The following is a 27,790-nucleotide window of genomic DNA, read 5'->3' on the forward strand; positions in this document are numbered from 1 at the left end:
ACTGCAACCTCCACGTCCCGGGTTCAAGCAATTCTCTTGCCTCAGCCTCCCAAGTAGCTGGGATCATGGGCACCCACCACCACGCCCAGCTAATTTTTGTGTTTTTAGTAGAGATGGGGTTTCGCCATGTTGGCCAGGCTGGTCTCGAATTCCTGACCTCAGGTGATCCTCCCTACCTCAAATGATCCCCCTGCCTCAGCCTCCCAAAATGCTGGGATTACAGGCGTAAGCCACCGAAGACTGGCTAAATATATGTATGTATTTTATTTTATTTTATTTTTAGACATAGGGTCTTGCTCTGTTGCCCAGGCTGGAGTGCAGTGGCAAGATCATGGCTCACTGCAACCTTCACCTCCCAGGTTCAAGCAATTCTCCTGCCTCAGCTTCTGAAGAAGCTGGGACCACAGGTGTGTGCCACCACACCTGGCTAATTTTTTTTTTTTTTTTTTTGAGACAGAGTCTCACGCTGTCGCCCAGGCTGGAGTGCAGTGGCGTGATCTTGGCTCACTGCAAGCTCCGCCTCCCAGGTTCACGCCATTCTCCTGCCTCAGCCTCCCTAGTAGCTGGGACTACAGGCGCCCGCCACCATGACCGGCTAATTTTTTGTATTTTTAGTACAGACGGGGTTTCACCGTGTTAGTCAGGATGGTCTCGATCTCCTGACCTCGTGATCTGCCCGCCTCGGCCTCCCAAAGTGCTGGGATTACAGGTGTGAGCCACTGCGCCTGGCCACCTGGCTAATTTTTAATTTTTTTGTAGAGATAAGGTCTTGCTACATTGCCCAGGCTGGTCTCAAATTCTGGGGCTCAAGCAATCCTCCTGCCTCAGCCTCCCAAGTGTTGGGACTACAGGTGTGAGTCACTGTGCCTGGCCATGACTCTACTTTTTCATCAGTTTTACAAAATGCACCTACAGATCAAGGGTTGCTGATAGAAATTAAATGTCCAGGTCGGGTGCAGTGGTTCATGCCTGTAATCCTAGCACTTTAGAAGGCCGAGGCAGGGGGATCATGAGGTCAGGAGTTCAAGACCAGTCTGGCCAACATAATGAAACCCCTTGTCTACTAAAAATACAAAAATTAGCTGGGCATGGTGGTGCATGCCTGTAATCCCAGCTATTCAGGAGGCTGAGGCAGGAGAATTGCTTGAACCTGGGAGGTGAAGGTTGCAGTGAGCCGAGATTGCACCACTGTACTCCAGCATGGGCGACAGAGCAAGACTCCATCTCAGAAAAAAAAAAAGAAATTAAATGTCCAAATCTGTGAGAGAACAATATACACCAGATTTTGAACATTTAGTATGGAAAAATTGGATTGGATGTGAAATAGCTCATTAATAATTTTCAAGACCAGGCCTGGTGGTTCTCACACCTGTAATCCCAGTGTTTTGGGAGGCTGAGGTAGGAGGATTGCTTGAGCCCAGGAGTTTGAGACCCACTTGGGCAACATAGAGAGATCCCATCTCTACAAAAAATTTTAAAAACTACCTGGGCATGGTGGCATGTACCTGTAGTCCCAACCACCTGGGAGGCTGAGACAGGAGGATCACTTGAGCCCAGGAGGTTGAGGCTATAGTGAGCTAGGATTGCACCACTGTACTCCAGCCTGGGCAGTGGAGTTTTATTTTTGTTTCAGACAAAAATAAAAACAAAAACAGGAGGGGCCCAGAATGGACTGAAGTTTGCTGAAGCCTGTTCTAGGCCAACACTATCCATGGAACATTTGCAGTGGTGGATAAGTTCTCTGCCTGTGCTGTGCAGTGTGCTGATCACTAGCTCCGTGAGGCTGTTGAGCCTTTGAATTGGGACGAGTGTACTCAGAAACTGATTTTTAAAATTCATTTATTTTATTATTTTATTTTTTTGAGACGGAGTCTTTCTCTGTACCCCAGGCTGGCGTGCAGTGGCGTGATCTCGGCTCACTGCAACCTCCGCCTCCTTGGTTCAAGCCATTCTCCTGCCTCAGTCTCCCGAGTAGCTGGGATTACAGGCACGCACGCCCAGCTAATTTTTGTATTTTTAATAGAGATGGCATTTCTCCATGTTGGCCAGGCTGGTCTCAAACTCCTGACCTCAGGGGATCCGCCCATCTTGGCCTCCCAAAGTGCTGGGATTACAGGCATGAGCCACCGCGCCCGGCCAAGAAACTGATTTTTAATGTTACTTAGTTTTAGTAATTTGAAATTTAAACTTAAACCACCACATGTGGCTAATGGCTACAATATCGGACAGTGCAATCCAGCATGTTCTAGACCGGGGGCAGCTGCTGGGTTACAGAGCACAGATCCAGAGTGTTCTAGACTGGAGCCCAGCTACCATATGGGACGTAGACTGTTCTAGACCAGAGAGGTCAATTACTGTATCATGGACAGCATAGGTCTAGAATATTCTAGACCCAGGGTCTGGATCATATCGGACAGCACAAATCTAGAGTCTAGAATCTAAAGCAAGAGAAAGGCAAGATTTAAATTTACACTTAAGGGCCGGGCGCAGTGGCTCACTCCTGTAATCCCAGCACTTTGGGAGGCCGAGGGGGGTGGATCACCCAAGGTCAGGAGCCTGGCCAACATGATGAAATCCATCTCTACTAAAAATACAAAAATTAGCCGGGCATGGTGGCACATGCCTGTCATCCCAGCTACTTGGGAGGCTGAGACAGGAGAATCACTTGAACTCAGGAGGTGGAGGTTGCAGTGAGTGGAGATCACGCCATTGCACTCCAGACTGGGCGATAGAGTGAGACTCTGTCTCAAAAAATTTTTAAAAATTAAAAAAATAGATAAATTTGTGGCTCACGCCTGTGGTCCCAGCACTTTGGGAGACCGAGGTGGGCAGATCACCTGAGGTCAGGAGTTCGAGACCAGTCTGGCCAACATGGTGAAACTCCGTCTCTACTAAACATACAAAAAATTAGCTGGGCATGGTGGCAGGCGCCTATAATCCTAGCTACTCAGGAGGCTGAGGCATGAGATTGGCTTGGATTCAGGAGGTGAAGTTTGCGGTGAGCCGAGATCACGCCATTGCACTCCAGCCTGGGCAACAGAGCGAGATTCTGTCTCAAAAAAAAAAAAAAAAAAAAGGGAGGGGAGACCAGGCTGGGTGCTGTGGCTCATGCCTGTAATCCCAGCACTTTGGGAGGCAGAGGTGGGATTACCTAAGGTCAGGAGATCGAGACCAGGCTGATTAACATGGTGAAACTCCGTCTCTACTCAAAATACAAAAAATTAGCCAGGCATGGTGTCGCGTGCCTGTAATCACAGCTACTCAGGAGGCTGAGGCACACGAATCGCTTGAACCCGGGAGACGGAGGTTGCAGTGAGCCGAGATTGTGCCACTGCACTCCAGCCTGGGCGACAGAACAAGACACTGTTTCTAGAAACAAAGAAACAAACAAACAAACAAATATTTCTTAAACTATTTAAAAGTACTACACACGGCCGGGCACGGTGGCTCACGCCTGTAATCCCCGCACTTTGGGAGGCTGAGGCGGGTGGATCACCTGAGGTCAGGAGTTCAAGACCAGCCTGGCCAACATAGTGAAACCCCGTCTCTACTAAAAATACAAAAATGAGCCGGGCGTGGTGGTGGGCACCTGTGATTCCAGCTACTCAGGAGGCTGAAGAAGGAGAATCGCTTGAAACTGGGATATGGAGGCTGCAGTGAGCCGAGATTGCACCACTGCACTCCAGGCTGGGCGATACAGTGAGACTCAGTCTCGAAAATAAATAAATAAATAATAAATAAGTAAAAGTAGTACACACACTTACAGAAAAGTGCATGAAACATAAATACTTACAAAACAAACATCCTGATGACCACTACCCAGCCGGTCCTCTGGAATCCACCCCATGCCGTATTACTAAGCCCAACTCTTTTCTTTCTGCTGAAGGAGCCACTATCTGGTTGTCGGTAACACGCCTTTGCTTTTCTTCGTGGTTTTACTGGATACAGTGGTGTGCCCTTGGAATTCCAGCTACTCAGTAGGCTGAGGCAGGAGGATCGCTTGAGCCCAGGAGCTTGCGACCAGCCTGGGCAACATAGTGACACCCCATCTGAAAAAAAACAAAATTCTCTATGGTTTTGCCATTTATAAATATGTCCCTAAAGCACTAGGTGTTTTTTTTTTTTTGCCTGTTTTCCTTTTAACCTAACATAAATGGGATAATAGTCTGTCATCTTTTATGTGTGCCTTCTTGTTTCACTGTTTTTTCTTTTTCTTTTTCTTTTCTTTCTTTTTTTTTTTTAAGAGACGGAGTCTTGCTGTGTCACCCAGGCTGGAGTGCAGTAGCGCAATCTCGGCTCACTGCAAGCTTGGCCTCCCGGGTTCACGCTATTCTCCTGCCTCAGCCTCCCGAGTAGCTGGGACTACAGGCACCCGCCACCACGCCCGGCTAATGTTTTTGTATTTTTAGTAGAGATGGGGTTTCACCATGTTAGCCAGGATGGTCTCGAGCTCCTGACCTGGTGATCCACCCATCTCGGCCTCTCAAAGTGCTGGGATTACAGGCGTGAGCCACCACACCCGGCCTTTTTTTTTTTTCTTTTTTGAGACAGACTCTTACTCTGTCACCCAGGCCAGAGTGCAGTAGCGTGATCTTGGCTCACTGCAACCTCTGCCTCCCTGATTCAAAATCTTGTGCCTGAGCCTCCCAAGTAGCTGGGATTATAGGCGTCTGCCACCACACCCAGCTAATTTTTTGTATTTTTAATAGAGATAGGGTTTCATCATGTTAGCCAGGTTGGTCTCAAACTCTGACCTCAAGTGATCTGCCTGCCTCCGCCTCCCAAAGTGCTGGGATTACAGGCACGAGCCACTGGGCCTGGCCTGTTTTACTTAATTTAATGATGACGAGATTTATCTATGGAAGGCCGGGCGCAGTGGCTCACACCTGTAATCCCGGTGCTTTGGGAGGCCAAGACCAGAGGATTGCTTGAGCCCAGGAGTTCCAGACCAGCCTGGGCAACATAGCAAGACCCCATCTCTACAAAAAAATAAGAAAACTAGCCAGGTGTGGTGGCTTGTGCCTGGCGTCCTAGCTATTGAGGAGGCTGAGGTGGGAGGAGCATTTGAGCCCAGGAGATTGAGGATGCAGTGAGCTATTGATGCAAAGCAGACAAGGGCTTAGCCTGGGAGGGTTCTTGGCTTCACCTGGGAAAGAATTCAAGGGTGAGCTGGTGATGTTAGCAGCTTTTATTGCAACAGCAGTGTAAACGGCAGTGGAGGTCCTGCTCTCTGCAGAGCAGGGCCACCCCATGGGCAGTGAGCCCCGAGCAGAAGTTCAGAGGCAGTTCTGCAGGTATATTTGTACCCACTTGGTTTTGTTTTTTGTTTATTTTTTGAGACAGAGTCTCGCTGTTTTTTGAGGCAGTATCTTGAGACACTCCCACCCACGCCATGACAGTTTACAAACGCCATGGCAATGTCAGGAAATTATCCTAAAAGTGGAGGACCCTTCAGCTCCAGGAACTGCCCACCCCTTTCCCAGAAAGCTCGTGAATCATCCATCCCTTGTTTAGCATGTGATCAAGGAGTAACCATAAAAATAGCCAACAAGCAGCCCAGGCGGCTGCTCTATGCAGTAGCCATTCTTGATTACTTTCTTTTCTTTTCTTTTTCTTTTTTTCTTTCTTTTTTTTGAGATGGAGTCTCACTCTGTCATCCAGGCCAGAGTGTGATGGCGTGATCTCAGCTCACTGCAACCTCTGTCTCCCGGGTTCAAGTGATTCTCTTGCCTCAGCCTCCCGAGTAGCTGGGATTACAGGTGCCCACCACCACGCCCAGCCAATTTTTGTATTTTTAGTAGAGACGAGGTTTCACTATGTTGGTAAGGCTGGTCTCGAACTCCTGACCTCAGGTGATCTGCCCATCTTGACCTCTGAAAGTGCTGGAATTACAGGCGTGAGCGCACCACGCCCGACCCCCACTTTTAATTACATTTAAATTAAGGGACAGATTATGCAGAAATTTCTAAGAAAAGAGTGGGACGTTTCGGGTCATTGGGTCATTGCCATGGAAAGGCGGTAACTTCTAGGTGTTGCTGTGGCAACGGTAAACGGACATGGCACCCCGGTGGGCATGTCTCAGGGAGAGCTGCTTCGACTCCATCCCTGTTTTAGCTAGTCTTCAGTTTGGTCCCGTATCTCAGCCCCGCCTCCTGAGTCGAGTCTCACCTCCTACCTCACTATGATCGCACCACTGCACTGCAGCCTGGGTGACAGAGTGAGACCCAGTACAAACAAAAAAAAAAAAAGAAGAAGAAGAGGAAAGAAAGAATCACGTGTGTTGCTGTGTGTATCAGCGTCTTGGGCGTTTTCACTGCTGTCTAGTATTCCAGGATGCAAATACGTCATTTACTCATCCATTCCCCTGTTGGGGGACACTTGGGTTGTTTCACATGTCTGTTGAGACAAATAGAGATCCTCAAGGGTGTTCTTTGGTGGACACACGTCACACTTCTCTCAAGTGTATCCCCAGGATCATCAGCCTCTGTGGCTAACACCCACCTGCTTGGCAAAGGTGAGACCTGTGGCGTGTGCCACCTTTTCCCAGGAATGCCTGCAGAAATGGAGCCAGCCTTTTGGAGTGAGAATGGGAGGCTGGTGAGGGGCGGATGGGGGCTGCTGGGGAGGAAGACCCCCCGGCCTGCCAGCCACGTCTGAGCACGCTCGCTCATCTGAGCTCCTGCTGACAGCTCCTCTGCAGGGAGCTGAAGCACGAGGTTCGCCCTGTGCTGGAAAAGCCCACCCAGGCGGCTCACGTGCCTGCACACGCCCGCACGAGCACAGCCTGGGAGTCGGGGAGGAGCTGGGTCACGTGAGACACCGAGACAGCCACCATCTCTCCTGTGCCCTGCTTCCCCCACCCAAGAAAACACCTCTGTGTGTGCGTGTGCGTGTGTGCATGTGTGTGTGTGTGTGTGCGTGTGCGTGTGTGTTGGGGGACAGTACGAGTGGACCCTTCTGTCTCTTTATAAGCCAGGAGGGGAGTGATCCAGGTCATTTGCTTGACTTTCCACTTCTACCCCCTCATCCTGGCACAGGGGAGCCCCCCCCACCAACCGCCCGGCCCAATACTGCTGCTTTCTGAAGAGAGGGCAACCCCCCCGTTTCCGGTTCCCGCACAAGTGTGACAGCAGTGTCCATGGGGGACGTAGTTTAATCAACTCTCAGCATTCTGGAATAGGATCCGAAATTGAATAACAGAATCCCAGAATAGATCCTGGAATGGACCGTGGGACCCTGGAATTGAGGCTCAGATTCCAGGGGAAGCTGCTGGCTGGGCCGTCACAGCCCCGGACACCACTTCCCATCCCCAAAGCCAGAGCCTGGGGTTCCTGGAGACAGAGAGCCCCCCAACACTGGGACAGTGCGGGGAGGGGCAGAGGGTCCAGCTTCTGTCCCTTGGCCAGTGAGGGAGGGGCCAGGACCTTTGGGACTTTGCTGTCTCTTTCTTTACAAGAGTCTTGGGGGCTGAGGTACATCCCAGCACCCTCAGCCACCCTGCTGCTCATCTGATTGCCCTGGAAAAAGATGAATTTGTGTGTCTGCGTGTCCTTCCCTGCTCAGACGTGGCAGCTGCCTTGAGTAATGCTGCCCTCCTGAAACCCCTCTCTGTGCAGGGTCACAGAGGTGGTCCCCTGGCAGGACCCCTACCTCCCCTGCTTACCTCCATGCTGCAGGACTTGGCCCAGAGTGAAACCAAACCTGAGAATGGGCAAGGGGCCTTAAGACGCCCAGTGTGACAGTTTCACCTCCCCAGACCTCAGTTTTGTCATCTATAAAATGGGGCCCTAGAAGTAGATTTTTGTTTTGTTTTGTTTTGCTTTTTTGAGATGGAGTCTCGCTCTGTCGCCCAGGCTGGAGTGCAGTGATTTGATCTCAGCTCACTGCAACCTCGGCCTCCTGGGTTCAAGCAATTCTTCTGCCTCAGCCTCCCGAGTAGCTGGGATTACAGGTGCCCGCCACCACGCCCAGCTACTTTTTGTATTTTTAGTAGAGATGCGGTTTTACCGTGTTGGCCAGGCTGGTCTCGAACTCCTGACCTCAGGTGATCCGCCCGCCTCAGCCTCCCAAAGTGCTAAAGTGCTGGGGTTACAGGTGTGAGCCACCACACCCGGCACCTAGAAGTGTTTGGAGGACTCTGTAAGGTGAGGCCTGTCAGGTGCTGAACGCAGAACCCGAGCTCGGCACACAGGCACAGAATAAATGAATGAATAATGAATAAATGAATGAACCATCCTGGGCACGTCAAGCTGCGAGACTCGGGGCGTCGTGTCATCTTTCTGGGCCTGTGCAGACACCAAATTGTAAGACACTGCCTGGCACCAGCTCTTGGGTGACTTCCCGTGCCAGGCACTGTGCCCGGCATGCTCTTGGCTGATGGGGATGGAGCCTGGGTTTTGCTTTCCGAGGAGTCTACAAACCCGTGTATCATTTCCGCTGTCATTTGTGGACCCTGGGCTAAGGGTCTTGGTGGGGAACGGAGGGTCACAAAGCCCAGTGCCCTTGTGCCCCTGCCTCCCACCGGAGCTACCCCAAGTGAGGGGCAGTGTGTGTGTTTAGTGGGGAGGGGTCGTAATCAAGGTAATGCCTGGGCAAGACAATGGAAGCAGATGGAGAGAGAGCACGGAAGACTTCAGGGAGGAGGTGGCGTTTGAGGGGTAAGGATGGGGTGCAGCGGGGGGGCATTCTGTCACCAGCCACGTTCAGGGGGCCATGGCAGGAGGAGCGGGGAGGAATGACTGGGGCTGAGCAGCAAAGGGCCCTCAAATGCCAGGATCAAGGGCTGAGCCTCTACCCAGAGAGCAATAGGGAGCCACAGCAGCGTTTAGAGCAGGGGAGGGGCTTGGCCTGGGTGTTTCAGAGAGGCTGGACTGGGGCCTAGGTGGGAGGGGAGGAAGGTCAATGGGTGTCTGGGGCAGCCCAGATAAGGGGTCCACCTTCCTTCCTTCTCTCCACACCACTTGGAAATAACCCATCTGGGGCTTCCACTAAATCTCTTTTTTGAGACGGAGTATCACTCTTATTGCCCTGGCTGGAGTGCAATGGCACAATCTTGGCTCACTGCACCCTCTGCCTCCCGGGTTCAAGTGATTCTCCTGTCTCAGCCTCCCGAGTAGCTGGGATTACAGGCGTGCACTACCGCACCTAGCTAATTTTTTTGTATTTTTAGTAGAGTCAGGGTTTCACCATGTTGGCCAGGGTGATCTCAAACTCCTGACCTCAGGTGATCCACCTGCCTCGACCTCTCAAACTGCTGGGGTTACAGGCGTGAGCCACCGCGCCCGGCCCCTCCTCTGAACCTCTACTCTTCCAAAGGCACAACTTTGCAGATCCCAGAGACTCCTTGGCTGCCCCAGCCTCACTGCAAGACACTCCTCCTGCAGTCGTTCCCATTCCCCACCCCCCAAGGGGCCTCAGTTTCCCCATCTCTAGCATACACAGGTCAGACAGAAAGGACTGTTTCTCGGCCAGCCAGTGCAAGCCCACCCATGCCCACAGTGCCAAAACGCTCCCCAGCCCACAGGACCCCTTGGTTGGAGGGATGTCTAGGTCCTTAGGACACCTCTCCCTTCCCCCTCTCCCTTTTTTGGAGATAGGGTCTGGCTCTGTCGTCCACGCCGGAGTGCAGTGGAAGCGATCATAGCTCACTGTGGCCTCAAACTCCTTGGGTTCAAACGATCCTCCCTCCTTGGCCTCCCGACCTCTCCCTTCTTTCTGGTCTTGGTTTGCCCATCTGTAAAATGGAAATGCATGTTTTCATCTCATTAAGTTGTCTTAAGACTAAACGGGTCAGCAGATGTGGGTGTTGCTCCAACATGAAAAATTGTTTCCAATCGTTCCAAACTCCGACTCCTACTCCAAAATTCACAGTGAATTTTCCATCTTCAGTGCAGGCCCAGGACAGCCTTTGGCTCTTCACTCTCCTCTACCCTCAGCTCTCCCAGCTCCAACCCTGACCCCATGGGAGAGTTTGTGTCTGGCTCTGTCTCCCGCTCCGCCAGGCTGGTGAAGGGTCCTTCCTGGAGTTCCAAAATTGAACTCAGCCTTGGGGGCCCCAGAACCAGAGAGTCATGGGGCACAGCAGGAATACTGCTGAAGAAACGGAGAGGAAGGGAAGGGTCAGGGAAGGGACGCAGCCATGGGGAGCCAGAGAAGGTGGAGGAGGGAGGGAGTGCACTCGGCAGAGACCTCGGTGGGACAGATGGAGAGAGGGAGCCGGGAGGAGGTGGGCAGAGCCAGATGGACGGGCAGGGGCGACAGGAGGGGTGGGGTGTGGGGAGACCCAGATCCCCGCCTGGCACGCCTCCTCCCGGCTCGGGCGGGCAGCGCGGGCAGGGCCCGCCTGGGCGTCGGGCGCAGGGCGCGCGGCGCGGGGCCCGAGCGTGCAGTGCGGCGGGTGCGCGCCTGTGCGCCCGGGGCGGCCGGGCGGGCGGGCGGCGGCACGTGGATGCCAGCCTGGCGCGCGTCTCCAGGCCGGTGGGTAAGGCGGGCGCCGGGCCGCGGGGTGGGGACGGCCGGGCCGCGGAGCTCGGCTTTAGAGTGGAGGCCTGGAGAGGAGGGGGCTACCCAACTGGCTTCACTGGACCAGACCAGGACCCCCTCTCCCCGGCCGACCCTCTCCCCGAGCTGACCCAGCGGTGGGGGGAAGGGACCTCCCAGTAGGAGGCGGAAGGTCCCAGGCTCTGTGGCGGGTGGGGAGATGGGGAGCAGGTACACCAGCCCCCCAACCCCAGAACAAGGTGGGGGTGGAGGGTTCGGTGATGGGGGCAGCTTCTCTCCCCGCGGCCGCCCCTCCCTCCCTCCCTCGTCCATCTCCAGAAGATTATATTTAAATATCTCTTTTGTGCAAGGCAGGAGCTGGGCTCGCCCCTAAGAGGCGGTTTCCATGGCAACAACAATTGCCAGCTTCCGTGTGGTGAATCAGCGTTGCCATGGCAACCCCATCCTCATCTGCCCAAGGTGCTGGGAGGGGGGAGGAGGTGAGGGCCAACGGAGGTGGGGTGGGAGGGGTGGGGGGAGCAGGAGTCTGGAGCTCCTGCAGGTGCCCCCCCATCTCTCCCCACCTCCCCTGGCACCCCCCCGCTTCCAGCCCAGAAGCTGGTCCCATCTGGTTGAAACCATCTCCCCTCCTGCCTCCAGCCTAGCAGGGTGTGGTACCCAGGTGGAAAGGGCCCCGGTGTGTATGCATGGGTGATGTGGGGTGGGAAAGGGGTCCAGCTGGCTGGGTGGGGGAAGAGCATGGAGGTTTTCCTCTCCTAGGTGATCAGGGTCCCTCTGAGGGTGCGGCTGGGCGGCAGGAAGGTTGGGCTGGGAGGATTGGGGGCACAGGATCAGGGAGGCAGGGGCCTCTTGGTTTCTGGGGCCCCAAAGACTGAGTTCAAATTGAGGAAAGCATATGTGCCCGGGACATACACTCAGGAAGGAGGGTGTCAGAATGGGAGAGGGTCTTAGAGAGGGGAGGGGACCCAGAGATGAGGAAGGGCCTCTGAAGCAGGAGAGGCTCAGCGAGAGGAGGGAAGCTGAGGGGGTGGGAGGTGGAAATCCAGAGGGGTCTCTGAGGAGGGGAGTGCAAAATAAGGGGTTGCTGAGGGTGGAAGAGTGGGCACGGAGCTGGAACGGGTCTTAGAGAAGGTGTCAGATCACGAGGGACAGAGCTCAGTGGGGAGACTTTGGGGGTCCCAAAATGGGGAGGAGGCATTATTTATGGCAGTGGGTGGACAGATCACTGAATCTGGAGTCCAGAAACTCTTCACTCACCATGGCCTTACACAAATAACTTCTCTCTTAGACAAATAACAGAAATCTCAATGTTGACATCTGTAGAAAGGGGTGAAAATTGCACCTCTCTCTGAAGCTTGTTGGGCAGCTATGCTGTGATTAGAAAACCTGGCATTTGGCCGGGTGCAGGGGCTCACGCCTGTAATCCCAGCAATTTGGGAGGCTGAGGTGGGCGGATCACGAACTCAGCAGATCGAGACCATCCTGGCCAACATGGTGAAACCCCATCTCTACTAAAAATACAAAAAAAATTAGCTGGGCGTATTGGTGCGTGCCTGTAGTCCCAGCTGCTTGGGAGGCTGAGGCTGGAGAATTGCTTGAACCCAGGAGGTGGAGGCTGCAGTAAGCCGAGATCACGTCACTGCATTCCAGCCTGGCAACAGAGTGAGAGTCCGTCCCAAGAAAAAAAAAGAAAAAAAGAAAAGAAAAAAAAGAAAACCTGGCACTTTTTCAAGCGTATTCTCTGCTGAAACTCAAAAGTCAGAAGATCAGAAAGAGCACTTTGGAACCCATAGGACTCAGGGGATGTGGGAATCTATTTCAAGTTTGTCTGACTTGGAAAAAGGTCTGAGAGTAGCACTCATTCCCATTCCAGACGCCTTTCTGTGTTGGTGGAAGTTGGCCACTTCCTTCTGGCCCATTCTGTTCAGCAGGTTTCTCCAATTCCTCCATGTGTCCTTCCCCATGTGGGGAGATGCCGTGGTTCCCTGTCTGGAGAGAGACAGAGCAAGACATAGACACTTACAGCCTGAGGGAGGGGGAGGAAGGAGCCCAGAAGAGTGGGAAGAGTCCCTGCATGGGGGCTTTTAAGTTGGGTTTTGAAGGTTGAGTGGGAGTTTGCCACAGACATCAGGTTGGGAGAAGGATTGTGTCCCAGGACCAGTGGAGATGCAAATGCCTCCCCAACTCTCACATCCCTGGAGCCTGTTCTCAACGATCCAAAATAGCTCATACCTAGGACTTGGTATGTTGTGAGAGTTGGTGCCAGTGAGAATTTTTTTTTCATTAAATATCATTTTCAATGCCTGGGGTGGGGGACAAAAGTGTCTAGAACAATGAATCCAGATGGCAGGCTGGTCCACTCAGGTATGTCCCCACCCAAAGCTCCTGGCATGACTCCACCCAAAGCTCCTGGGAGATGTGGCTAAATGTAGCTACTTTGGTGTATCAGTCAGCACTGCTGAGTAACAAACTACTCCAGTCATTGTATTTGTTCTCGATTCTGCAAAGCTTGGTCTGGGCTCAGCTGGACGGCTCTTCTGTTGGGCTCTCCTGGGGTCGCTCAAGCAGCTGCAGTCAGCTGAGACTTGACTGGGCTTAGCTGGGTCAGGGTGGCCTCACTCCCCTGAGGTGGCTGTCAGAGAGGCCTCTGTCTCCATGAGGCCCCTCCTCCTCCCCTACTGAGGAGGAGGGGCCTCCTCCTGGGCCTATCCACCTGGCAGTCTCAGAGTTCCAAGAGTGGAAGCCACAAGGTCTCTTGAGGCTTAGGCTCAGAACTCCCGCAACTTAACTTCCACCACATTCTATGGGTCACAGCAAGTCACTTGGCCAAGTTCAGGTGCCAGGAGTGGGAAAATAGACTCTAGTTCTTGATGGTAGGAACTGCAAAGTCACATCGCATAAAGGGACTGGAGGAATTGGGCCTATCACATTTGGGGAAGCAAGGAGGCTTCCTGGAGGAAGGGATATTGTTGGGTTTTGAGAGCTAAGAGTTCGCCACACAGTTTCCGCTGTAGGTGGGACAGTGTGTAATTTCTTTGACTGGGGTGTTAGTTGGGTGGTGGGGTGCTGAGGGCTGGTGGTGGGAGGTGGGCAGGGCTGGCCTGCAGAGCTCAGGCAAAACCCCCCGCCTGCCACACCCCCACTGCTAAGCTTGACTTTTCCCTTCCCCCTCTCTCTGCAGATGGCGCGGCCAATCCAGGTGAAGCCTGCGGACAGTGAAAGCCGCGGAGGTAGTTGTCATCTCTCCGTGGCTGCCAGGCTGGGGGTTGGCGGAGGAATGGGAGAAGAAGGAAAATCTCTTCCTTCCTCTCTCCTGCAAAAGGGGCAGTGGCCGAGGCCTGTGGATCTGGAACTGGCCTCCCTGCCCCAAAGCATGCAGTAGTCGCATGCCTGCTCACACACCTTTTGGTGGGGGGAGAAGCAGGTTCCAGAGAGCAGAAGGGGCTATGTCCATAGGCCCCAAGGGAGGATGGGGGGTCTAGCCAGGTCCAGCTGCCTTCTCCTGAGTTTGAAATACTCCACTCCCTTCAGGGTGCAATAACTGGGGGGCTTCAGACACAGACAATGGGGGCCTGAAGGGCTGTGGATTGCTCTCTGGGGTCTCCGTGTGGAAATGTGTGTGTTTATGTGTGCATGCTTAAATGTGTGTGTATATGACTGTGCACACCTGGCATGCCTGTGTGCAGATGTGTGTGAGTACGTGCACATGTGCATTTGTGTTTCTGCAGCTGGTGCACATAAGCGCACATGTGTGGTATGCAGTGGGGATGCCTTCCTGCCTGTGTGCATGTGCGTGTGCCCAGCCCGCGCATGGGTGTGTGTGTTTGCACATGTGTGCCTGACTGTTGGAGGCTGGGCATGTGGGCAGACATGCAGGCTGGGGCCAGTGTTGTCTGTGTGGGGCTGGACCTTGGTGTCAGGGTGTGCCCATGGTGGGGGCATACTCAGCTGTTCCCATGGGACCCAAATCTAGTCATTCTTGGAAATTTGTATATTTCCTCTCCATCTCAAGTGGAGACTGAAGGAGGGCAGCCAGATTTGGTTGAGTGGAGGCATGGAGCAGGAGTGTTAGGATACCTAGGTATATGTAGGAGTCCGGTAAAGGCCCTCTGGGATGGGAGCCCCTTTCACACTCTCCACCCTGGCTGCCAGCGTGGGACAGGGAGTAGCGAGGTGGGGTCTGTATGTCTCCATTTTTGTCTCTATTTCTCTGTCTCTCTCTCCATCTCCCTCTGTATCTCCTTCTCCTTTTTCTCTTCTCTTGTCTCTTCATCCCTCTTATTCTCTCTGTCTCTCACAGTCTCTTTCGCGCGCACTCTCTCTCTGATCTGTCTCTCTCTCTCCCTGATTCTCAGTCTCTCTGCTGGTTTCTCTCTCTCCCTCCCACCCCCATGAGTGACAGCTGCCGAGAGCGGTTTCCATAGTAACCCAGCTCACCGTCCCTAGGAGATGAAGCCACCACGTTCCCCATTACCAGGGAGCATGCAGTTACCCAAGGGGGCAGAGCTCACACAGGAGAGGCTGGCCCAGCTCCGGCCTCAGACCAGGTTCCAGCCCAGCCCCACCCAGCAGGGGGTCCAGCCTGCCAAGGCCCCTGGTCCACTGAGCACGTGAACCCTCACTCCACTCCACAGATGGTGACTGCCTGGCCCCTCTTGATCCCGACAAAGTTGGGCAGGGGCCTCTGCTGGGCACCGTGAAAGTGCGGGGACCATCAGTGCCCACCTCCGCCTGGCAGGTCCGGGGAGCAGACAGAAAGACAGACAGACAGACAGACAGGGACCCAGGCCCGGCGAGGCAGCTCCTAGCCCTAGTACTCGGTGCGGGCTCTCTGAGTGCACCAGAGGGAAAGGTCATCTCCGCCTGGAGGGGGAGCAGTGGAGCAGAGACCCCAAAAGACTGCAGGGAGGGCATTCCAGGCGGGGGCGCCACCTGGGCAAAGGCCGGGAGATGGGAGCGTGCAGGGCCCGTGGGAGGGTGGAGAGATCCGGGGCAGGGAAAGGGCGCGGCTGGGTCCTCCCTCGCACGCGCAGAACCGGAGCCGGCAGGGCCCGGGCGCCGCGTCTTCCTGCCCTGCCGCCTCCACTCTGCTGGAGGGAGGGAGGAATCCCGGAGGCCCTCCCGGAGGCCGGGGACTCGGCTGAGGTGGGTGTCGCCGCCCACAGGGGACCGGAAGCTGTTCGTGGGGATGCTGAACAAGCAGCAGTCGGAGGAGGACGTGCTGCGGCTGTTCCAGCCCTTCGGGGTCATTGACGAGTGCACCGTGCTCCGGGGGCCTGACGGCAGCAGCAAAGGTGACTGGCGGGGGCCGGGGCGGGACTGCGAGAGGGGCCGGGCTAGCTCTGGGGGCGGGGCCTGTGGGGAGGGTGGGGCCTGCAGCATGGGGAGGAGCTGGCTCTGGGGTGGGACCCTGGGGAGGGGCGGGGCTTCTCCAGGGGTGGAGTCTGTGGGTGAGGCTGCAGGGGCGGGGCCTTGGAGAGGGGCGGAATTGCAGGGGCGGGGCCTGGGGAGGGGATGGGGCTGCAGGGTGGGGAGGAGCTGCCTCTGAGGGCGGGGCCTGTGGGGCAGGGCCCTGGGGAGGGGTGGGGCTTCTCCAAAGGTGGGCCCTTGGGGAGAGGTGTGGCTGCAGGGGTGGGGAGGAGCTGGCTCTGAGGATGTAGCCCTGGAGAGGCCCGAGGCTTCTCCAGAGCTGAAGTCTGTGGGTGAGGCTGCAAGGGTGGGGTCTTGGGTAGGGGAGGTACTGCAGGGAGGGGTGAAATACGTAGAGTTAGGAGGGACTGGCTCCAGGGGGAGAGGCCCTGGGAAGGGTCGGGGCTGAGCATATAGGGGGTGGGGCTGGCCAGGTGGGGCGGGGCCAGGCCAATAGGAGGCTGGGGCTGGCTGGGAGAAGCTGGTTCACAGGGGTTGGGTGGAGCAGAGACTGGTCCCGCTTGATCCTACCTGCATGCTCTCTCTGCATGCTGGCTGTGGGGACGGGCCCTGAAGAGGGGCGGGGCTGCGGTGGGGTGGGCGGAGATGCAGAGGCGTGGCCTTGGGGAAGGGCAAGGCTTCTCCAGGGGCTGCTTATGGATGGGGATGCAGGGGCAGTACCTTGGGATGAGGCGGTGTCTGGTGGGAGGCGGGGGGGCTTCTCCAGGTGCTGCCTGTGAGTAGGGATGCAGGGGCGTGGCTTGTGATGGGGCGGGGTCTGGGGAGGGGCGGGGCTTCTCCACGGACAGAGTTACCTGTGCCCTGTGGTCTCAGATTCCTCCACCTGACTATTCGTAAAACTGTTTCCTCCTGGTTCTGTCTATGTGATTTGTCCATATGACTGACTGGTGGTCTCTGGTTGTGTCTGTCTGTCTATCTTCCTGCCTGAGAGTCCAAATGACGGTGTCTGGCGGTCTCTGTCCACAGAGCTCATCATGTGGGACCGACTCCACTCTGGTCTTTCTTACCTTACTAGAACTGAATGTGTCTGACGGTTTCAGACCATTACCTGGTTCTTCCTTTTTAAAATTGAGGGCTGGGCGTGGTGGCTCACGCCTGTAATCCCAGCACTTTGGGAGGCTGAGGCAGGTGGATCACGAGATCAGGAGTTCAAGACCAGCCTGGCCAAGATGGTGAAACCCGTCTCTACAAAAAATACAAAAATTAGCTGGGCGTGGTGGCAGGCGCCTGTAATCCCAACTACTCGGGAGGTTGAGGAAGAGCATTGCTTGAACCCGGGAGGCAGATGTTGCAGTGAGCCGAGATCACGCCACTGCACTCTAGCCTGGGTGACGGAGCAAGACTCTGACTCAAAAAAAGAAAAAAATTGAGATGTCTTCCACATCCTACCAAATTCACCCTTTAAAAATGTACAATGAAGTGCTTTTTTTTTCTATTCATAAAACCGTGCAACCATCACCACTATGTAATTCCAGAACATTCCACCCCCTCCCTCCACAATATGGCTGGCCCTTCCATAGTACTCTACCAGTCTGGAGCCAGGTGCAGTGGCCTCTGTATGTTCTATGGACTTTGTCGGTGGGACTGTGTTTCCATTCACCTGTGTCTGGTGGTCTCTGTGTGTGTGGCTGTCTGTCTGCATTAGCCTGGCTGGCTGTGTGGGTGACCAGGTCTTTGTCTAACTGTGGCTGTCTGTCTGTGTGATTCTCCTCCATTCTGACCCTTGATCTGGCTGATTGTCCAGCTGTCCGTCTGAGCAAACGGCTGGCTGTCTTTCTGTTATCAGTTCTCTCTGGCTGCATGTGTCTGACACTGGCCATGTAGGTCTCTGTGTCCCCTCTCCTGTGGCCCCCGCTCAGCCAGTCCTGTGACCCCATCACCCTCTACCTCTTCTTCTTCTCTTGGAGCAGGCTGTGCTTTCGTGAAGTTCTCCTCCCACACGGAGGCGCAGGCGGCCATCCACGCCTTGCATGGGAGCCAGACCATGCCGGTGAGTTGGAGCTGCCCTTGGCCGTGGGGGTGGGGGTGGGAAAGGGGTGAGGGGGACAGGGATGAAACAGGCCATATTCCTACCGTCGCTGTCATCCGGTAGCCCCTGGCTGTCCTTCAGAGGGGGCACAGGTGGAGAAAGAGGCGCAGTCCCTGGCTGTGGTCCCTGGAGTGGGTATACACGTGTGAGTGTGTGCAGATGTGGAGGTGAGTAGGCAAGCGAAGTGTATGTGTGTGCATGGATGTATTACAAGTGTGTGCGTGTGGGTGAGTGTGCATGTCTGGGTGTGAGTGTGCCCGAGACTGCATGCATGTGTGTGTGTGAGTGCGTGTTTGAGTGTGTCATTACTAGTAGGCGAGTGTTATGTGAGTGCTGTGTGCACGAGGGGTGTGCGTAAATATGTATGGATAAGTGTGCCATTGTGTGCTAGTGTAGAGATACTAGTGCGTGTGCGTGTATGAGAGTGTACATGTGTGTTTCTATGTGTGTGAGCGTGTGTGTGAGTATGCCTGGGCCACGGGGGAGGAAGCACATGTGTGTGCATCTGCAGGTGCATTTGTGGGCAGGTTTGTGTGTGTGTGTGTGTGTGTTTGTGTGTGTGCATGACTGTGAGTGTGTCAGTATTGTGGGTGATTGTGTACACGTTTGTGAGTATATGCAGGTCTGTGTGAGTATAGGTTGTGAGTGGGTGAGTGTGTATGTGTGTACATGTAAGGGTATCCTAAGGGGATGACACCTGGGTTGGATTTGCTGAGGCCAGGAGAGGCCCTGACAAAAAGAAAGGCTGGGAGGTGGCAACAGGTAGCCCAGAGGAGCCATAGAAGATGGGGCCGCAATGCGAGGCTGAGAAGCCTGGACTTTCTCCTAGGGCAGTGGGGAGCCACAGACGGTTTAGAGCAAGGGAGGAGACAGGCCAGGTCGGTTGCAAATATCCCTTTGGGGCTAATGTAGAGGATGGGCAGGGTGCAAGACTAGAGGCTGGGAGGCCAAAGAGGAGGCTAGGCCAAGGTCCAGCTGAGGTAGGAGGAGGCCTGAGCTGGGGCCAGGTGGACAGGGAGGAGGGCTGATCAGAAAACAGACATTAGGGTGAGAATGGATGGGGGGCCTGTTGACTCACTGGTTGAGGGAGGGGTGGGGATTGGGGACAGGTCCCAGAGTCTGCAGCAGTGAGAGGCTGGGGAGGACCAAGGAGGCACTGGGGACTGCCCTTCCCCCGAGGAAGGAGTCCCCAGAAGCCATTGTTCCTGCACCCACATCTCCGAATCTGCTACAAGGAAGATGGGACCTGAGAGGAACAAGCCACCTCTCTCAGCTCTTAAAACCCAGGGGAGGGGCTTAGTTCAGCACAAGGGCAAGTGTTCCCAAGCTCAGAGATGTCCCAGGACAGGGCTGGTAGGCGTCTGGAGGAGTGAGTTCTCTATCGGAGGAGGCATGTCAGCGAAGACAGGGAGGCAACAGGGTGCATCCTGTGGGAGCCAGCTCACCAGGGAGGAGCTGGTCGAAGGGGAAGATATTTTCCTTCTTGAGCCCCAGAGTCGGGGTGTGGGCTGGTTTGTGAGGGGTGGGAATGGCCTCCTGGCCCCTGCCTCAGGCCTCTCTTTTATTTTTTTGAGACAGAGTCTCGCTCTGTCGCCCAGGTTGGAGTGCAATGGGGCAATCTCAGCTCACTGCAATCTCCACCTCTCGAGTTCAAGCGATTCTTCTGCCTCAGACTCCCAAGTAGCTGGGATTACAGGCACGCGCCACCACACCTGGCTAAATTTTGTATTTGTAGTAGAGACGGGGTTTCACCATGTTGGTCAGGCTGATCTCGAACTCCTGACCTCAGGTGATCTGCCCACCTTGGCCTCCCAAAGTGCTGGGATTACAGGCATGAGCCACTGTGCCCGGCCACCAGGCTTCTCTTGTTACCGATATCAGGACCTGTTGCAGCATCCTGACTGCACAGACAGACACTCCCTGGCTCACCGCTGCTTCGACTGCCCAGGGCTGCCTGTTGGTGGATTTCAGCCCAGCCCTGTGGCACCTGGACAGCCATGGAGTGGGATGGCAGTCACATGGGTTTCTGTCTGTGCCCCAGCAAAGCAGGGCCCCCAGTCCCCACCAGTGGCTACTGTCCGCTGTCCACTGGGTGGATGGGCCACAGGTTCATCTGCCTGCAAAGGGCACAAAAATCTGGGGCTGGGGCTGGGCGTGGTGGCTGTAATCCCAGCACTTTGGGAGGTCGAGGCGGGCGGATCACTTGAGGTCAGGAGTTAGAGACCAGCCTGGCCAACATAGTGAAACCCCGTCTCTACTAAAAATAAAAAAAAAAATTAGCTGGGCGTGATGGCGGGCACCTGTAATCCCAGCTACTCAAGAGGCTGAGGCAGGAGAATCACTTGAACCTGGAAGGCAGAGGTTGCAGTGAGCCGAGATCGCGCCATTGCACTCCAGCCTGGGCAACAAGAGCGAAACTCCGTCTCAAAACAAAACAAAAAAAATCCGGGTCCGAACTGCCTGCTAGCTCCAGGGCATGGAGGACAGAGTCAGGATCATCTACTTGTCCCGCCTTGTTCCTCTCCTGTGGCTGGAGTCTCACCTGTTCTCAGGTGTGGGTGAGAATTGGAGGCTCACCCATCTGTGCCCCAGTTGTTCCTCTCTGGAGACTGGAGTTTCAGGTGTGGGGTGACAATGGCAGGTTCGTCCACCTGAGCCCACTGTTTTCCTTCGGAAGCTGGTTTCTCACCTGTTCTCAGGTGAGCGGAAGTCATAGGTGCCTCCAGCTGTGCCTCCCTGTTCTCCAGCGGCGGGATTCTCCATCTGTTTTGAGTGTGTGGCTGACAGTCAGGGCCCCCACCTGTGCCCCATCACAGCCTCCTAGGCCTGGGCGCTGCACCTGTGCAGATGCTGCTGGGCCCAGGATGCTGATCTCCACGCGGTCCTCGCTGTGGCCCTGGCTCCTGGGGTGGGGGCCCGTGGACATGGCTGACAGCCACTGGCATTACACCCCTCACCCAGGAGGCCTGAGCTAACATGAATCCAGGGACCCCAGAGTCCTGGCTACCTCCCAGCCCGTTTCCCTCCCTGCTCGCCGCTGCCCCTGCAGGGAGCCTCCTCCAGCCTGGTGGTCAAGTTCGCCGACACGGACAAGGAGCGGACGCTCCGGCGCATGCAGCAGATGGTGGGCCAGCTGGGCATCCTGACGCCGTCCCTCACATTGCCCTTCAGCCCCTACAGTGCCTACGCCCAGGCTGTGAGTGACCCAGTGACAGCTTCGGGGCTCCGGCTCCGTCTCTCTCAGTCTCTGTCTACTCTCTGTCGGGCTCCTGCCTCTCCCTCCATCTCCCTGACTCAGGGTCCTCTCCTGGCGTGGCTGAACCCCAACTCCAAATTGAGACCAAGCTCAGACCGAGCCCCTAAATCCAGAAGACTGAGCCCTAATCTCACAGTAACACCCAATCTTGGACCGAGCCCCAGAACCTGGCTATGCTCCACGTCTAAATTAGGCCCAATTCTGGCTGAACCTCCAAATCCAGACTGATCCCAAACTGAGACCTGACCTGATCAAGCTCCACCCTGGCTGAGACCTGATCCCAAGTTGAGCCCCAGCTCCTGACTGAACCCTGATCCCAGGCTGAGCCTCAATTTCTAACTAAACCCTCATCCTAGATGGAGCCTTGATCTCAGTCTGAGCCTCACTTCCTAACCGAGCCTTGATCCTAGATTGAGCCTTAGTCCCAGGCTGAGCCTCGCTTTTCTAACTGAGCCCTGATCCTAGGCTGAGCCTTGATCCCAGGCTGAGCCCCAATTCCTGACTAGATTGAGCCCTGATCTCAGCCTGAGCCTCACTTCCGAACCGATCTCTGCTCCCAGGCTGAGCCTTGATCCCAGTCTGAGCTCCAATTCTGATCTCAGCCTGAGCCAAGATACCCAGCCTGACCTCCTCACTAGTAACTGGGGTACCAAGCCTCCCCTCATAAGCCATGATCTCAGGGCAGATATCACCCCAACTGTGACATGTCTTCACCCCCAGCTCATGCAACAGCAGACAACAGTCCTGTCCACCTCGGGCAGCTACCTGAGTCCCGGCGTGGCCTTCTCACCCTGTCACATCCAGCAGATAGGCGCCGTCAGCCTCAACGGGCTGCCTGCCACACCCATCGCTCCTGCCTCTGGTGAGCCTCCTCCAGGCACCCAAGGATGGGTGGGCAGGGCTGGAGCCAGAACTGGCCTCCCCATGACCCTCTTCCGCTCTGCAGGGCTGCACTCACCCCCGCTGCTGGGCACCACCGCTGTGCCTGGCCTCGTGGCTCCCATCACCAATGGCTTTGCAGGTGTCGTGCCCTTTCCAGGTGGGCACCCTGCCCTGGAAACCGTCTATGCCAATGGCCTTGTGCCCTACCCAGGTAAATTGGGGTCGTCCTCTGGGGCCTAGGAGAGTGGTGGGGAATAAAGATGGTGTTTCTGGAACAAGTATGAGTCCCTACATCACAGTGCCCAGGGAACAGAAGGGCAGGAAAAAGGGTGTCTCCGCTGAGCAGATAAGAGCTGTGGACACAGGAAGGGAGGCCGTGGCAGGGTAATAACACATTAAAACGGTGCATCTGGATGTTTCTGAGCTTAAATTCCAGTTCAGTGACCCTGGATGGGCTCTTTACGTCCCTGAGCCTCAGTTTGCTCATCTGGAAAATGGGGCAGATAACATCAGTAGCCTCAGAGGGTTGCATTGACAATTTAATCTGTGTGCAAAAGGCTTCACACAGGGTCTCACTCTGTCGCCCAGGCTGCATTGCAGTGGCACAATCTTGGCTGACTGTAACCTCCGCTTCCCAGGTTCAAGTGATTCTCCTGCCTCAGCCTCCCAAGTAGCTGGGATTACAGGCGCATGCCACCATGCCCGGCTAATTTTTGTAGTTTTAGTAGAGATGGGGTTTCACCATGTTGGCCAGGCTGGTCTCGAACTCCTGACCTCAGGTGATTCACCTACTGCGCCCAGCCCATAAATCTTAATTATTCATCTGTGTCATTTGGGGAGATATCAATGCCTGGATTCATTCATTTATCCATTCAACACAGAATGAATGACCCACTGATTTAGGCTGCACCTGCTTTCATGAAGCAGAGGTCCTTCCTTTCTCTATGCTACACCTACAATTTTAGGGCAAACATCTTCCAACATCTAATTTATGTGAAGTAAGTTATCTGTCTTTCCACCATGTAGGAGAATTTGTTTCTAACTTTTTATTTTTTTAATTATTTTTATTTATTTAGTTTTAGAGACAGTGTCTCACTGTGTCACTCAGGCTGGAGTGCAGTGGTGTCGTCGCAGCTCACTGCCGCCTCCATCTCTGGGGCTTAAGCAATCCTCCCACCTCAGCCTTCCTTGTAGCTGGGACTACAAGCATGTGCCATCACGCCCGGCTAATTTTTAAATTTTTGTACAGACGGGATCTTGCTGTGTTGCCCAGGCTGGCCTCAAATTCCTGGGCTCAAGCAGGCCTCCCAAAGTGCCGGGATTATAGGTGTGAGCCACTGTGACTGGCCTTAACATTTTATTTTGAAATGATTGGAGGTTCACAGGGAGTTACCAAAATACCACAGAGCAGTCCCAGGTACCCTTCACACAGCTTCCCTGATGCCAGCAGCTTATCTAATCATAGGTCACTGTCAAACCCAGGAAACTAACACTGGCACCATACAATTAATTCAACTCCAGACGGTATTCAAATTTCACCATTTATTTATTTAGCGACAGAGTCTCACTCTGTCGCCCAGGCTGGAGTGCAGTGGCGTGATCATAGCTCGCTGCAGCCTTGAACTCTCGAACTCCTGGGCTGAAGCGATCCTCTCACCTCTCACCTCAGCCTCCCAAGTCACTGGGACTACAGGCACGTGCCATTATGCTTGGCTAATTTTCGATTTTATTTTATTTTTTAAGAAATGAGGGTCTTGCTATGTTGCCCAAGCTGGTCTCGAAACTCCTGGGCTCAAGCGATCCTCCTTCCTCGGCCTCCCAAAGTGTTGGGATCACAAGTGTGAGCCACCACACCCAGCTGATTTCACGAGTTTTTGTATGCACTCTGTGCACGTGTGTGTGTGTGTGTGCAGGGGCGGTTAATTGCCATTTTGTCACAGATGCAGACTTGTGGATCTCCCACAGTGAAGATACAGAACTGCTTCTTGCCCACAAAGTGAACTCCTTCCTGCCACCCCTTTGAAGTCACAGTCACCACCACTATCCCCTGCCCTCCAGCACACTCTCCATTCGGGCAGAATTGTTTGGCTGAATTTTTCCCCAGAATCATCAGCTTTGGTGGCCTGGACAACTTCTTCCCTCCCCTACCCCTTTCCCTAGCGGTAGCAGGAAGGCTACAGCTAGATGGGGGAGCTACAGGGTGTCTGATGAGGAAACTCATGTGGAGAGGGAGACGGGGCAGGGGATGGGGGCAGGTGGTGATTTGAGGTGGAGGCTGAAGTCCTGGTGAATCCAGGGAGTAGAGAGGAGTGAAGGGTCCCCCTTGGGAGGCAACCGGGTCGGGATAGGGAGAGGGAGATGGGGACGATGGTGATCTCTCTCTGGAGTCCGAGAAACCCGGATTCCAGTTCAGCTTCTGCCATTTGCTATCTGAGTGGCCCTGTGCAAGTGGCTTCACCTTCCTCGGCCTCAGCTTCCTGGTCCTACAGAGGGTTTAGCACAGAGGAGAAGCTGGGCGGGGTGTTTGTTGCTGTCCTTGCGGCTCTTAAGGATCGGGGGTGGATGGAAGACTTCTGCTGCTCCCGCCCCACTCAGCCCCTCTGTCTGCCCGCAGCTCAGAGCCCGACTGTGGCCGAGACACTGCATCCTGCCTTCTCCGGAGTCCAGCAGTACACAGGTAGGAGGCAGCCCGCGTGCCCGCGCTGGGCCCTGGCCCCGCCCCCGCCTAGGGCCCCGCCCCCAGGGCCCGCCCCGGACGTGTCGTTCTTCTGTGCCTAGCCGCGCCTCCTACCTCTGGCCCCGCCCCTCAGGGCCCACCCTTAGCCCCTTGTCCTGTATTCAACCCCGGGCCCTGTTACTGGTCCCACCCCACCACCACCTATACCCGCAAACAGGACCTTCCCTTGTCCTTTAAGGACAGCGCTTACCCATGGCCTTACCCTCTCATGTTCTGTGTTGGGGAGAGGGAATTCCCCTTGACCACGTCTCTAGCTCTGACCCAACCCCAGCTCTCGGCCCTGCCCCTTACCCTCCCTCCTGCAGCTCCTAGCCCCGCCCCTCACTTCCTGCCTTTACTCTGACCACGCCTCTCTGATAAAGCCCCGCCCCTACCTCTGGCTCTACTTCTTAAGGCCTGGCTGTGACCCCGCCCTCTGCTGCGGCCCCGCCCCTTAACTCATGGTCCTGCCCACATAGCCCTCCATCAAGTCACGGCCCCGCCCCACTCATGCCCTTCATCCCAGTCTTGCCCCCGCCCTCCACTGTGACCCCACCCCTCAAGCAATGGTCCCGCCCACTCTGGACTGTCCTGTAGCCTTGGCCCCGCCCTCTACTGTGGCCCAACCCCTATACCCCTCCCCTCACGCCATGGGGTCCGCCCCCACCCCCCCTTCCCCGCCCCGTCTCGGTATTGGCCCTGCCCTCCACCATGGCCCCGCCCCTCAGGCAATAGCCCCTCCCCGTTTCGTCTGTGATCTTGGCCCCGCCCTCTGGCCTGGCCCCGCCCCCAAACCCTCCCCACAAAGGCCATGATCACACCCACTCCTGCCTTGGCCCCACCCTCTTATGGCCCCGCCCCCTCCCCGCCCAGCGGCCCAGGCCGCCCACGTGGCCTCACGCCCCTCCTCGCCCTGTGTCTCGCTCCGGTCTCCGCAGCCATGTACCCCACCGCGGCCATCACGCCCATCGCGCACAGCGTCCCCCAGCCGCCGCCCCTCCTGCAGCAGCAGCAGCGAGAAGGTGAGGCGGCCGCAACCTCCCCTGGGCGCCAGCCCCGCCCTCTGCCCGCCCTGTCCACCTGCAGGCTCCGTGTCTGGCCCGGGCCTCTGGGACCCGCGGGGCTGAGAGTGCGGCCTGGGGGCTGGACAGGCCAGAGTTGAGTCCCGGTGCAGCCGCTGACCCCTGGGAATCTCCCTCTCTGTTTCCTCCTCCGAAAAGAGAACCATGCTCGCCCCGACCCCGTAGGAATAGCAGTGACTTCCTACCAGCCCTCTCCAGAACCAAGAGTGATTCTCTGGATTTTTTGGAAAGGAAACCCTTTTTGAGGCTGGGGCATGGCACGATGAGGTATCAGGTAATGAGGCCTCCCCAGTAAAGCCAAGGCTGTCGAAGGAGGGAGGGATTCGATTCTGGAGTCTGACAGTCAGGGTTCAAATCCATACAGTTCTTGCCATGTGCGGTAGATCCCGCCTGTAATTACATAGCGTTTTGGGGGCCGAGGTGGGAGGATCACTTGAGCCCAGGAGTCCAAGACCAGCCTGGCTTAGCAAGACCCCATGTCTACAAAAAAATTAAAAATTGGCCAGGTGTAGTGGTGTGCACCTGTAGTCCCAGCTACTCAGGAGGCTGGAGCAGGAGGATCACTGAGCCCAGGAGGTCAAGGCTTCAGTGAGCTACTATCTCCCCACTGGACTCCAGCCTGGGTGAGAGAGCAAGACTCCATCTCAAAAAAAAAAAAAAAAAAAAAGGCCGGGCACGGTGGCTCACGCCTGTAATCCCAGCACTTTGGGAGGCCGAGGCGGGCGGATCACAAGGTCAGGAGATCGAGACCATCCTGGCTAACACGGGGAAACCCTGTCTCTACTAAAAAATAGAAAAAATTAGCTGGGTGTGGTGGCGGGCGCCTGTGGTCCCAGCTACTCGGGAGGCTGAGGCAGGAGAATGGCATGAACCCAGGAGGCGGAGCTTGCAGTGAGCCGAGATCGCACCACTGCACTCCAGCCTGGGCGACAGAGCAAGACTCCGTCTCAAAAAAAAAAAAAAAAAAAGAAAAGAAAAGAAAAAAATCCCAAGCTGGTAACAACCCAAGTGTTCATCAGCAGGTAAATGGATAAATAAATTAGGATGGAGCTGCACGATGGAACACTATACAGCAGTGAAAAAGGATAAGTAGCCAATACTCACAACAACATGGAATAACTTCACAGGCAGAATATTGAGTGAAAGAAGCCAGATAAAAAAGACTTCACTTAAATGAAGTTTTAAAACAGTAGGCCAATCGAGGTGGCTCATGCCTGTAATCCTAGCATTTTGGGAGGCTAAGGCAGGTGAATTGCCTGAGCTCAGGAGTTCAAGACCAGCCTGGCCAACATGGTGAAACCCCATCTCTACTAAAAATACAACAATTAGCCGAGCGTGGTGGCGTGTGTCTGTAATCCCAGCTATTGGGGAGGCTGAGGCAGAAGAATCTCTTGAACCAGGAGGCGGAGGTTGCAGTGAGCCAAGATTGCGCCACTGCACTTCAGCCTGGGCAACAGAGCGAGACTCCATCTCAAAAATAAATAAGTAAATTAAATTAAAAAAATAAAAACGAGGAAAGCTGGCTGGGTGCGGTGGCTCACGCCTGTAATCCAACACTTTGGGAGGCCACGGCAGGAGGGTCACTTGAGCCCAGGAGGTCAAGGCTGCACTGAGCCAAGATCATGCCACTGCACTGCAGCCTGGGCAACAGAGGGAGACCCTGTCTCAAAACAACAAAACAACAACAAAATCAAAAATCTTTATCAGTGACACGTTAAGAGAAAAGAAAGATGGGAACGTAGTAGAAATGGTAGCACTGTTTTCTCCATGTTATGTGGTTTAGAAATGCATGAGACTACAATAAATACCGTGCTTGGCCTTGGAGAAGACCTAGAATGTGCACGTGGAAACGGCATCGAAAGGGTTGTTGCATGTGACTGTGAAACGGTGGAGGG

At 55.1% G+C, this 27,790-nt stretch overlaps 1 protein-coding gene across 14 annotated transcripts in view, besides 3 other annotated features; it reads left to right on the top strand.

Moving 5' to 3' along the window:
* Positions 1-27,790, top strand: part of CELF5 (CUGBP Elav-like family member 5) — a 72,416-nt gene that overhangs the window by 35,530 nt on the left and 9,096 nt on the right. For 6 of the 14 annotated variants that reach the window (XR_430147.2, XR_001753733.2, NR_033342.2 and 3 more), the window contains exons 3-10: positions 13,682-13,733; positions 15,666-15,794; positions 17,841-17,920; positions 21,009-21,155; positions 21,936-22,077; positions 22,162-22,308; positions 24,712-24,774; positions 25,752-25,835. Coding sequence is in view for 10 of the 14 variants with exons in the window: in XM_006722832.2 (XP_006722895.1) it covers positions 13,682-13,733; positions 15,666-15,794; positions 17,841-17,920; positions 21,009-21,155; positions 21,936-22,077; positions 22,162-22,308; positions 24,712-24,774; positions 25,752-25,835 (844 nt within the window). In the remaining 4 variants the exon portion in view is untranslated. Of the gene's footprint in view, positions 1-10,386; positions 10,481-10,979; positions 11,177-13,681; positions 13,734-14,823; positions 15,138-15,665; positions 15,795-17,840; positions 17,921-21,008; positions 21,156-21,935; positions 22,078-22,161; positions 22,309-24,711; positions 24,775-25,751; positions 25,836-27,790 lie in introns of those variants that run through there. The other 8 variants (XR_007066936.1, XM_011528173.2, XM_006722836.3 and 5 more) reach the window with 7 other exon arrangements.
* Positions 13,207-13,407: a silencer, noted in NCBI's record as "peak3244 fragment used in MPRA reporter construct". NCBI's record gives its function as "represses an SCP1 promoter by STARR-seq MPRAs in K562 erythroleukemia cells {active_cell/tissue: K562}" and the evidence as "EXISTENCE:reporter gene assay evidence [ECO:0000049][PMID:32103011]".
* Positions 15,453-15,582: a silencer, noted in NCBI's record as "silent region_9834". NCBI's record gives its function as "represses an Ori minimal core promoter by ATAC-STARR-seq in GM12878 lymphoblastoid cells {active_cell/tissue: GM12878}" and the evidence as "EXISTENCE:reporter gene assay evidence [ECO:0000049][PMID:35858748]".
* Positions 15,813-16,112: a silencer, noted in NCBI's record as "silent region_9835". NCBI's record gives its function as "represses an Ori minimal core promoter by ATAC-STARR-seq in GM12878 lymphoblastoid cells {active_cell/tissue: GM12878}" and the evidence as "EXISTENCE:reporter gene assay evidence [ECO:0000049][PMID:35858748]".

This window comes from Homo sapiens, chromosome 19 (assembly GCF_000001405.40).
Source record: "Homo sapiens chromosome 19, GRCh38.p14 Primary Assembly".
Taxonomy (NCBI): Eukaryota; Metazoa; Chordata; class Mammalia; order Primates; family Hominidae; genus Homo; species Homo sapiens.